At 36.5% G+C, this 12,745-nt stretch overlaps 1 long non-coding RNA gene across 2 annotated transcripts in view; it reads left to right on the top strand.

The window, feature by feature from the left end:
- Positions 1-823: 823 nt before the first annotated feature.
- Positions 824-12,745, top strand: part of LINC01853 (long intergenic non-protein coding RNA 1853) — a 38,124-nt gene continuing 26,202 nt past the window's right edge. Inside the window, exons 1-3 of one of the 2 annotated variants that reach the window (NR_183815.1) lie at positions 824-1,033; positions 2,081-2,134; positions 4,421-4,483. This is a non-coding gene — a long non-coding RNA (long intergenic non-protein coding RNA 1853). Of the gene's footprint in view, positions 1,079-2,080; positions 2,135-4,420; positions 4,484-12,745 lie in introns of both variants that reach the window. The other variant, NR_183816.1, reaches the window with a different exon arrangement.

Genomic DNA, 12,745 nt, shown 5'->3' with positions numbered 1-12,745 from the left:
TTTATACTATTAGCCTGGAAAACCATCATCCACTCACTGCATACATTTCTGTGTAATTGTTATTATTAAAGATCATGTATTTACTTTTTGATTCACTTTTCTTACACAAAATGTATTAAAAGCCGAATGAAGAGAAACTGTTAATAAGTAAGATAAATGAATTGAAAGGCTTTTGACTAAATTGAATAGAAAATCTTTTTTCTGTCATTCTTGCCAAGAGAATTCTTATATGCTGCTGTTGAAACCAAAGACTGAGGTGTGACTTTTGTTTTCAGAGAATATTTTATCAATGCCAGGTTATGATTACATTTAAAAGATTATTGCACATTGCATAGTACCTTCCTTGTCAGAGGAAATTCAGTCTGTTGAAATCTAATGACATAAAAACTAAGACGATTAATTTCTACCAACTCATCTTACTCAATTGGTAGAAGAATTAAAAAACTCAAGTTTTACCCTCTACCCAATCTGATCAAATGCTTTGCCATTTATAAGTCTTCTGTTAAATCCAGCAAACTATCAAAGATGAACATCATCATTCAGTACTTTTTCAATCGTCTTTTTTTTCACTAGTACATGTAGATTACTATCTTTCTATTTTGAAATAAGAAATTGATCTGATGAAAATTTCATTTGTAAGTACTGGCTGTTCTTTGAAGAGGTTTGGACCATATTTATATAAGTGTGTAAAACATTACTTGATGAGGAGTGAAATAACAGATTTTATTGTGCAAGTAGAACTCAATGACAAAGAAGGATAATAAAAGGTCTCTGGGAATAGAATTCTGCTATATGTTCTATTCTGTGCTTACTGTATTTCTCCAGTCATTACTATAGGTGAAATAGATCAACCTGGGGAAGTTCTCAACTTGTCAAATGATCTCGGAGACTATAGCAAGGTTGAACTGAAGATCTGCTTAACTGATTCCCTGGCTTAGTTCCAGCATGTGCAATGATGCAGTTCTGAAGTGCCAAGTGCTTAATCATTAAGCTTGCTCTGGGACAAAAACATTTTACAAGTTCCACTACACAAGTATGTTGTTGAATTCTCTTTGAATGCAAGGCTTTTCAAGTTAAGGTGAATTTCCACTCTGTATTACTTTCTGGATGCTGCCTTTTGTAATTCTGCTGCCCATGTTATTAAACGTCCTTGAGGGATTTTGATGCACTTCTGAGCACCCACTATATGCACTAAGAAACAAACAGATAAGTAAGAGATTTCCAAAAGTCAAGGAGGAATGAGAGAATGTCAAAATCACATAAAAAGCATATGAAAAATTCCATGTAAATTGTACAAAGAAAAAAACACAAAAAAAGCTTTAACAGAGAAATTTTATTATCAAGAGGCACAAGGAATTCCTTTATAGATGATATGAAATTTAAGATAATGATAGAAAATGGGGATAAGGAAGCAAAAAAGGTAAAAAGTAGGATATGTTCCTTGGAGAGATAAAACTAAGCAAAAATCAGGCAGGCAGAAAGCTTTAGAGCACATGTGACAAACTACAAGTAGTCCAATATGGTTAGATCATAGAGGACTTGTGGAATTAAATTAAAAAAATATTTATAAGTAATTCATAAGTGATGTTGGATGTTAGAGTTTTGGTTGATAGCCACTAAAGCTTTTCGAACAGGGAGTATCACAGCCAGAATGTGGGTAAGCATCTACTTAGCTGAGTAGTTAGGATGAACTGAGTTGGGAAGAGTTAGAAACCAGATTTATTTGTGGTTTCTAGCAATAGTAGTAACCCAAATTTGTCTAATAGTGAAAAATGAATTAAAATTTTTGGCTTTCTAAGACAATGCAGAAATTGAAATGGCACAAATATGGGAGAGGGACCAACAAAGAAGAGAAGATGATTTGTAGGATGCTGTGGTTTGAATGTTTGTTCCCTCAAAAACTCATGTTGAAATTTAATCATCATTGTAGCAATATTAAGAGGTGTGACATTTAACGGGTAATTAGGCCATGAGGACTCCAGCCTCATGGGTGCATTCAATGCCTTAATAAGAGAGTTTTTAGTCATGGGCTCTCTTTCTTTTTTCCCTCTTTTCTTCTGTCATGTTACGACATAACAAGAAGGCCCTTGCAAGACACCAGTACCTTGATATTTGACTTCCAGTCTCCAGAACTGTGAGTTAATAAGTTTCTTTTTAATATAAACTATCCAGTTTGTAGTATTCTATTATAGTAGTAACAAAAGGACTAAAATATATGGGAAGGGGATAAGATTTTTGAACATGTTAAATTTTAGATAAAAGCAGGTGAAGATACCCAGGAAATAAGAGAGAGACAAAGTTTAGTTCATGAGGAAGTTGTCAGAGCAAGTAATAAATATTGAGGAGCCATTGACTGAGGACTAGCCATTGAAGCCTACAAGAGATTTTGCATCAAAATGTGTTCTGCCCCTCCCATGACCTAAAGTAGATCCCCTTCTTAGTTTTTTTTTTAGTTATTTTCTTTTCTGTTTTATTTTTTAAAATGTATGATTACATTTATTTTGGTGTCTATTTGTTTGACATCGGTCTCCACAAGGAGACTATGTACCAGTTAAAAAACATGAACCTGCCAGGTGCAGTGGCTCATGTCTTTAATTCCAGCACTTTAGGAGGCTGAGGCAGGCAGATCACTTGTGGTCAGGGGTTCAAGACCAGACTGGCCAACATAGTGCAACCCTATCTCTACTAAAAATACAAAAGAAAACAAAAAATATCCTGGCATGGTGGCAGGCACCTGTAATCCCAGGTACTCAGGAGGCTGAGGGAGGAGAAGGTTGAACCTGGGAGGCAGTAGTTTCAATGAGCTGAGTTTGTGACACTGCACGCAAGCCTGGGTAACAGAGACTCCGTCTCAAACAAACAAAAAACATGAACCACAGTTGATGCCTCAAATGAAAAAGATTTAATACAATAATTTGTATTTGGGGGTGGGGTAAGCAATAATGAAGTGGCAACTTTATTCTAGCTGTCTTGTTCCCTCTCATAACACCAGGAGACCACTGTCTCAGCTTCATTTTTTTTTTTTTTTTGAGATGCTCAATGAACACTCCATAGACTTTTTCAGTGTCTTCAAAAAACTTGCCGGCTTTGTCTTATTTTCTCACTCTCTCCTCATCTCTCACATCCCAATGCCCTTCAACTAAACTTGACTCTCCAGAGTGCCCAACACATGCCCTTCCTCACTGTCAGTTACCTTTCCCTAATGAAGTAATTTAATTAGTCTCCATCATCTTTTTCCAGTGAATTGCAAATTTAACATAAAGGACTAATGAAAGGGGTGTGTGTTGGCATCTGGAGCATATTGGTGTGTAGAGGTGAATGGCTAGATAGTGGACATGGCTTACATCATCTTTTGAGCTTGGGGAATAAGATCCATTAACCAAGCCTCAGTTTTTATAAAAGCAACAAAGTATTAGAAAAAGTTCCAAGAGAAGAAGTGTTCCCAGGCTGGTGGGACTGAGAAGTAAGGCAGTTTTTCCCTGCCCAGCCATGCCTCTTGCTTTCCATGTGGGAGAGATGGGCTCCAGCTCCTTTTCTGCTGCTCCTGACTCCAGCAATCTCTGTGGCTATCCATGAATGATCCAGGGAAAAAATATGAGCCTTTCTGCTCTGGGTGCTCTCCCTCTTTGAGTATTTAAATCTGTAATATTGTATTATATTTATGCTGAAATTTATTAGAGATATTACCATACATAAAAATGGTGACTATGGGCTGAGCACAGTGACTCATGCCTGTAATTCCAGCACTTTGGGAGGCTAAAGTGGGAGGATAGCGTAAGGCCAGGAGTTCAAGACCAGCCTGGGCAACAAAATGAGATCCATCTCTACAAAGAATAAATTAAAAAATTAGCCAGGTGTGGTGGCATGTGCCTGTAGTCTTAGTTACTTGGGAGCCTGAGGCTGGAGGATCTCTTGAGCTTAGGAGTTTGAGATGGCATCAAGCTATGATTACATCACCCCACTCCAGCCTGGGCAACAGAGAAACTCTGCCTCTAAAACAAAAATGGTAACTATGGAAAGTGATGGATCTGTTAATTTGTTTGACTGTAGTAATTATTTGCACTATGTATATCTCTACTGAAACAGCATTTTGTACACCTTAAATATAGACAATTAAAAAATCTGAATCAGATTTTTTTACTCTTTAAAGACTAATTTTATTTATGGAAAATCTGCCCCCCTCATCTTTTGACCTAAATGAGAAGCTCATATTTCTCTTTAAAAAATTAGTTCTATCTTGGTTTTGTACATACCAATCTCTTACCTTAACATGCTAAGAGAGCAGCATTTCCTCTACCCTACCCACATGGACTTATATTATAAATCATTTTATTTTGATTCTGCAAGCTCAAGTTGCTGTCAAAATATAAGAGTGGTCAAAAGCCTCAGTATTTTTTCTTTCATTTTTTTTTTCCACAAGTGGAACCTGAACAGTCTGCTGAAGCACCTGATGTTTGGCCTTCCTGAATGTCATGTAATACGTGTAAGTATATATATATATATATATATTTTTTTTTTTTTGAGACAGAGTTTTGCTCTTGTTAGCCAGGCTGGAGTGCAATGGTGCAATCTTGGTTCATTGCAACCTCTGCCTCCCAGGTTCAAGCAATTCTCCTGCCTCAACCTCCCAAGTAGCTGGGATTACAAGCATGTGCCACCATGCCCAGCTATGTTTTTGGATTTAACAGAGATGGGGTTTTACCATGTTGGTCAGGCTCGTCTCAAACTCCTGACCTCAGGTGATCCATCTGCCTCGGCCTCCCAAAGTGCTGGGATTACAGGAGTGAGCACCGTGCCTGGCCCTTGTGAGTGTATTTCTAAACAATAGTTACATTAGAGAAAAACACACTTGCAAAGTCTATGTGATATAAAATGATCTTAATTTTTGTAATTTGATGCAATATTTGAATAGGATTACTGCAGGTTAAGGAATACGGGTAAAGAAAAAAAAACAGGGAGAATGAAGTGTGAAGTGAATAAATATGTAAGAAAAAAATTAGAAGAAAGAAGGGAGGTTTCAAAGGGAAGGCAACCAAAACGTCAGGGGAGAAGAGTAAAGCAAAAAAAAAAAAAAAAAAGAGTAAAATAAATTTTATTCAAAACCTATATGAGTTCAGGCTTTTGTCAGGCTTTTGGGGCTCATTTACAAATTCTAACTGTAGGCAAAACTTGCCTGATTCTCATGCCCCTCAAAACTCTGAATGCCATTTCTCAAGATTGTATGAATACTCAAAGCCAAACAGAGTAGACGAGGAGGTAAATACAAGAAACTAGCACATAACATGTCTCCCAGGAGGTACAAGGCAGAATGGTGAGCCTGATTGAAAAGAAAATTGGCATCACATAAAAAAGAAAATAAAAAGTAGCAGCATCTCAGCGTGTACAAATAATCCATGCAAAGCTGTGTGTGTCTGTGTAAATCAAAGCTGTATATTTTTGTCATAAATTAAATCATACTATGCCTACTATTTGTCACTAATTTTTATACTTAAAAATATATTATGAGTAAAAAATGAATAAAAAAGAAATATATATATATATATCTACTAGATAGATAGATAGATAGACAGATACATAAATACAGATATATAATGTGTACCTTTCCATGTCAATAGATGTAGGATAGCATTAATTCATTAGTACCTTGTCTGATTTAGGAAAATTTCAATAGATATTTGTTGAATACATTAATTTTAATAACCCCTAAGAATTCCTTAAACAATATTATTTAATAAATTAATCGTTGTTAGAAATTTCAGTTTAATTTTTATTACTCATATCCCCTCTTCTTCCCCATCCTCCTTCCTTCTCTCCCTGTCTTTCTCTTTCTTTCTCTTTCTTTCACTTTTTCTTTCTTTCTTTCTCTCTCTCTCTTTCCTTCCTTTCTCTTTCTCTTTTTCTTTCTTTCCTTACAGTTTTTAAATAATTCCATTTTAATTCTATACTAGAAATAATATTGTTGAATAAAATAGTATGCACATTTAAATTTACTTAGATTGGACTTAAAAAGTTTTTAGTATTTTATATTCCATGTACAATTTAAGAGAGCACCCATTTGTTGCCCTGGGAAGTATTTTTAATATTTTCTATATGTTACAATTTCAAGTATCAAAAATATTGTGTTGAAATTCTTTATTTCTTTGAGCCAAGTACTGGAACATTTTTTGTTACTTTATTGGCTCCTTGCATTTATTCCTTCATGAAATGTTTGTGTCCTTGGCAGAAAACTTGTAACTTTTGGTTGCCTGGCATTAATTTCTGTTTCCAGTCATCTTCCTGATTAACCTCTGGAGATTAGTCCTTTTCCTTATCAGGTAATAGTTTAATCAGCTGCTGAGCCCATTCCTATTCAAGGCTTAGACAAGTGAGCCAATCATAAACTCCTCGACTAAAATGCGAACCTGGAGCACACTAAAAAAGGGACTAACAAAATCATTGCAATTCATTCATTCTAGTTATGTCCTGCCCTCACTCTTTCTCTACCTCTTTCTCTTATTTCCACATCTCTGGAGCTCCCAGGTATCTCCATTTCAAACCTAGGTGCCTGGCATTCCCTTAGATTACATGACCACTCACAGTTTCTAGTGGTTGCCATCAGAGATTAACGGTTCAAAATTCTATCTTTTTTTTTTTTCTTTTTTGACGGTGTCTTGCTCTGTTGCCCAGGCTGGAGTGCAGTGGGGCGATCTCGGGTCACTGCAAGCTCCGCCTCCCGGTTTCACGCCATTCTCCTGCCTCAGCCTCCCGAGTAGCTGGGACTATAGGCACCCGCCACCATGCCCGGCTAATTTTTTTTTGTATTTTTAGTAGAGATGGGATTTCACCATGATGGCCAGGCTGGTCTCGAACTCCTGACCTAGTGATCCACCCACCTCGGCCTCCCAAAGTGCTGGGATTACAGGCGTGAGCCACCGCACCCAGCCAAAATTCTCTCTTTTATCCTATTGGGCTGTAGACCTTTTAAAATTATTAACTTATAAAGTCAATAATTTTATATTTCGACTTTTAAAAGTCTGGCACACATATTATGAATATTGTTTTGCAATTTTTAATTTGTCCTTTATATTTTTAACTTTTCTGTCAAAAGAAAGTTATAGAGCTTATATGTTTAAATATGCTAATCTTTTAAAATAGGAAGCATTTGCTCCCAAAGATTATAAAATATGTTAAAATAAATCTTTAAAGTCTATTTTCGTGATTGCTCTAGAGTACTTATTGTTAGATATCCGAAGTAAAAAGACTGAAGTAATCTCTTGAAATACGGGTGATCCTGTGGAGCTTAGAATGTAAACTTTTAGGGACATTGATCGATGCTATTATGCTATTTTCTTTAGTGTGTAAACATAGGAATGGAATTACTAATATTTTCTGAAATCCGTTATAATAATCCCTCTGAGGGATTTTTTTATATAATCCAAATTGGGCTTGAAATAAGCCTTCTCTGCTGGATGTTATCTTATTTTTCATACTTGAAAGTCAGTTTTTAAAATCTCATCTAAAATATACATGTAGAGTAGAATATTCCAAATGGAAGAAAAGAATCATCTGAATTTCTTATTAAATATAAAGACTAGCCTGCCTCTTTTCTGAATATTATAATAATGTAATTCTTAGTTGTCCTGGGATCAGCATATTTTTAAAAACTCTTTATGAAAGTATTGGTTTCATTATTCATCTGTCATCACTACCACAGCCCCTGTGGTAGGAGTCAGGTAGTTTGGTGGAGAGGAGGAATGTGGCTTTCAAGATATTTTTTAACTTTCCAGAGTAAGACCCAGTATTGGCCCCTTTTCTAGCATTTTTAGGTTGAAAGCTGCAAATCACAGTCTCCAGTTTTTTGTTTTTGTTTTCATTTTTTAGTAGCTTTGAGGATATACACAAACACAGTCTTAAAGGGCAACAAGGGGAAAAGTTTTCTACTGGCCAAGTGTGAAGCAAGATATTAAAATATTACCTGTTGGAATTTTTCTCTTTACTCTGCAATGGACCCTCCTTCCTGCCAGTGGCAACTCTGAAAGATATTATTCTTTGCCAAAGAGAAAGACTTAGAAGAACATAATAACATCCTTGACTTTTGTTTTTCTTGACCTTAAAACCTGGGGTTACACGTTGATGGAGAACAGGCTGTAATCTCTCAGACATGGAGCTTCCTCTCCCACTACCGTAACTAGTTGAAATTAGCATAGCCTGGGGGAAGATAAAGAGTATTAATAGAACCCAGAGTATTACATATTGGTTGATGACTCTGAAAATAAACCCTGTGCTCTCCTCCCCACTAACATTCTGCTGGAAAGTTGTAGAAAACAGATTTCCTCAATGTGTCTTATTTTTCTAAGCATTAGAAAGATTAGCTCCTCATCATATGTGTGAAGGCCCTGGAAACCACTGAATGGGAAAGGTGGCAATGATGGCCGGTGGGCTTGGCATAGCCTCAGAATTCCAGTGTAGTTATATGCTTCCTGTGGCACACAAACAGCAATGAGGAGCTAAAAGACACTGAAATCTGGTGTTGTATATATATATATTTTGGTCAGGACAAATAATACACTGTAATTACCTACATGGAACCACAATGATCAGATGGATGAAACTGAGTCTGTCCTAATGTGCACATCTTTGAGGATGATCATGAATGAAACCAGGAACTTCCTCCCTCCAAAACCCACCAGATCAATACTTAAACCAATACATCCCAGGAAATGTAGTCACATCCTTGAGCAGAAAGAAGAAGAGCCTTTAAATGAATGAAATTTCCCTGAATAGTCTCAAGTGAATTTTGCCCAATGGGTGGAATAAGAGACTTAAATAGAATTTTTTTTTCAATTATAGAGACATCCGAGAAAGTTATATTTCACCGAACTGCTAAAACTATAGTTAATTATAATATTAAATTTTCTTGGGTGGAAAACAGATGTCCTTATATGCTAAAGAAATTTGAAAGGAGAGTGAAGGAGAGGATTGCATATTAGAATAAATATGTTATGTTTTGAATCTGGCCAAGATTTTCTGTAGAGCTTGCCACTCCACATTTTAAAACTCAAAAAGGAAAAGTTTTGGTGTAATGTGGCATCCAGGTAATTCTGGGCTTCTAGAATATCTTCCTCAAGTAGCCATTCTGCCAACTCCTGGAGCTAAAGCAGTACTTAAATAAGCATCAAAGAATAAATAAATGCAGGGTGTTATATGCACTACATTCTGCTGGATGCATATTAGTTATTTTGTTTTACTTATTTACACAATGTGACTAAGAACTTACCAAACACTATGCAGTCAATCAATATAGAATCCTGCCAGCACAAGAGAGTCTGATGCAAGTTTAGCTTCCCCTAATGCTGCTTGTGCCCTTGTCCCTGGATGATGGGTTAAGGATGAAAAGGGTCTTTACAATGAAAATATGGTCTCAGAAAGGGAATCTTCTTGTGCTATAATTAGTTCAAGTTGAACCGATTCTAGATAATTACAAGGTAATTTTCTAGAAATGCCTTACATTGCTTGTTTACATTAGAAAAAAAGGCAACTTTTTAGAGCACTTGATATTTTCAGGTGGAACAAATCCAGGTTAAATAACGTGGTGAAAGATTCTGCCAAGTTGGCAAATTCTCCTGGGATTCCTTGGCTGGTGGGGAGGGGGAGAGGAAGACTGGAATACACAGTGTGATCCAGACAGAAGGAGGGTATGAGTCGGCAAAGGTCGAGAAGTAAAGACAACAAGAAGAGGTTCAATCTGGCTAAAATAGAAATGAATGCTTTACATGTCTATCAAAATTATATCTGTATGAATTTGCGAATATTCTCCTAGCATAATATGTTTTCAGTTTGATGCTCTCATATCTATCTACATATCTATCTACGTACGTTTTAATTTGTTTGCAGTTGTCATTGTTTATAGTTATTCTATTTCTATTTCTATTTACATCTTTACTGACTTTATCACTATCTTAAGGGGTGTTTATGGTCAATTAATATATGTATGTATGTGCATGTGTGTGTGTTTACATACATAACCTCATACCTCAGAAATATTGCAGGTTTGTTTCTAGAGCATGCAATAAAGTAAATATCTCTATAAAGTAGTCACTCAAATTTTTATTTTGTAGTATATATAAATGTTGTATTTATACTATATCGTAGTATATTTAGTGTACCATAGCATTGTGTCTAAAAACACTGTACATATCTTAATTAAAAAGAATTTATTGCTAAAAGATGCTAACAATCTGAGCCTTCAGAGAGTTGTTATCTTCTTGTTTGTGGAGGGTCTTGCTTCCATGCTGATGGCTGCTGACTGATCAGGGTGGTAACTGCTGAAGTTAATGGTACCTGTAATAATTTCTTAAAATACAACAACAGTGGAGTTTTGTTACGTTGATTGATTCTTCCTTTCACAGAAAATTTTTCTGTAGCATGCGATGCTGTTTGTTTTCATGCCTGCATTTATCCCATTGTAGAACTTCTTTCTAAATTGAAGACAATCCTTTCACACCATGCAGCTGCTTAACTACATTTATAGAATATTCTAAATACTTTGCTGTCATTTCAACCATGTTTACGGCATCTTCACTTGGAGTAGATTCCATCTCAGAAGCCACTTTTTTTGTTGTTGTTGTTTGTTCTTTGAGATAAAGTCTCACTCTATCGCCCAGGCTGGAGTGCAGTGGCACGATCTCGGCTCACTGCAACCTCTGCCTCTCATGTTCAAGCAATTCTCCTGCCTCAGCCTCTCGAGTGGCTGGGATTACAGGTGTGTGCCACCATGCCCACCTAGGTTTTGTATTTTTAGTAGACATGGAGTTTCACCATGTTGGCCAGGCTGCTCTCGAACTCCTGGCCTCAAGTGATCTGCCCACCTCGGCCTCCCAAAGTGCTGGGATTACAGGCTTGAGCCACCGCGCCTGGCCGTGAAGCCACTTTCCATGCTCATACATAAGAAGCAACTCCTTATCTCTTCAAATTTTATCATGAAATTGCAAAAAATCAGTCCCATATTCAGATTCCACTTGTAATTCTAGTTCTCTTGCTATTTCTACCACATCCGCAGTTATTTCCTCCACTGAGGTTTTGTACCCCTTATGAGGGTTGGAATCAACCTCTTCCAAATTCCTGTTAATGTTGGTATTTTGACTTCCTCCCATGAGTCATGAATGTTCCTAATGGTATCTAGAATGGTATCCTTTCCAGAAGGTTTTCAACTTACTTAGCCAAGGTCTATCAGAGGTTTCACTCTTTATGGCAGCTCTAGCCTTACCAAATGTATTTCTTAAATAATGAGACTTCAAAGTTAAAATAACTCCTTGATCTATGGGCTGCAGAATGAATGTTGTGTTAGCAGGCAGAAAACATTAATCTCTTTGTACATCTTCATCAGAGCTCTTGAGTGACTAGACGCATTATCAGTGACCAGTAATACTTTGAAAGACATAATTGTTCTGAGAAGTAGGTCCCAAGAGTGGGCTTAAAATACTCAACAGGTTTACTGCAAACTGTTGTGCCATTATCCAGGATTTATTATTCTATTTATACAGCACAGGCAGCATAAATTTAACATAATTCTTAAGGGCTCTAGAGTCTTTGGAATGGTACAGGAGCATTGGCTTCAACTTCAGGTCACCAGATGCATTAGCCTCTAGCAAGAGAGTCAGCCTGTTTTTTTGTTTGTTTGTTTTGTTTTTCCTTGAAGACAGGTATTGACTTTTCCTCTCTTGCTATGAAAGTTCTACATGGTATAATCTTCCAATATAAGGCTGTTTGTTTGTCTATATTGAAAATCTGTTGTTCAGTGTAGCCACTTTCCTCAATTATCTTAGCTAGATCTTCTGGATGACTTGCTGCAGCTTCTACATCAGCACTTGCTGCTTCACCTTACACCTTTATGTTACGGAAATGACTTCTTTCCTTAAAACTCATGAACCAAACTCTGCAAGCTATCAATTTTTCTTCTGCAGCTTTCTTACCTTTCTCAGAGTTCACAGCATTGAAAAGTTAATGCCTTGGTCTGGATTAGGTTTTGACTCAAGAAAGCGTTATAGCTGGTTTTATCTTCCATTCAGGTGACTCAAACTTTCTCCATATCAATAAGAAGACTGTTTTTTTTTATTATTATTATTCTGTGTGCACTGGAGTAGCACTTTTAATTTCCTTCAAGAACTTTGCCTTTGCATTCACATTTTGGCTACCTATTTAATGCAAGAGGCCTATCATGACTTTTGACATAACTTCCTCTAAGCTCAATCATTTCTAGCTTTTGATTTAAAACAAAAGACATGTGAGTCTTTCTTTCACTTGAACATTCAGAGGCCATTTTAAGGTTATTACTTGGCCTAATTTCGATATTGTTGTATCTCAGAGAACACAGAGGCCATAGGAGAGGGAGGTTAAGTGGGAGAACTTAACCCTCCCACTTAAGTGGGAGAACAGCCAGTTAATGCATTGGCACAGTTCATGGAACCCAAAAACAATTACAATAGTAACACCGAAGATCACTGATGACACATCACCATAACAGATATAATATTGTGAGAATTACCAAAATGTGACAGAGACCTGAAGGGAGCACATACTGTTGGAAAAATTATGTCGATAGATTTGCTTCATGCAGTGTGGCCAGAAACCTTCAATTTGTAAAAAATGTGTTGCTTCTCAGCCTTTTGGCTAAGATAAAGTGTAAAAAAATGCAATATCTGCAAAGCACAATGAGGAAGATGCAAGAAAATGAGATACGCTTTTATCTACATATGTGCATTACATA

Source organism: Homo sapiens, chromosome 2 (assembly GCF_000001405.40).
Source record: "Homo sapiens chromosome 2, GRCh38.p14 Primary Assembly".
NCBI classification, from domain to species: Eukaryota; Metazoa; Chordata; class Mammalia; order Primates; family Hominidae; genus Homo; species Homo sapiens.
The sequence above is the reverse complement of the archived record's forward strand: the minus strand, read 5'-3'. Positions and strand labels throughout refer to the sequence as shown.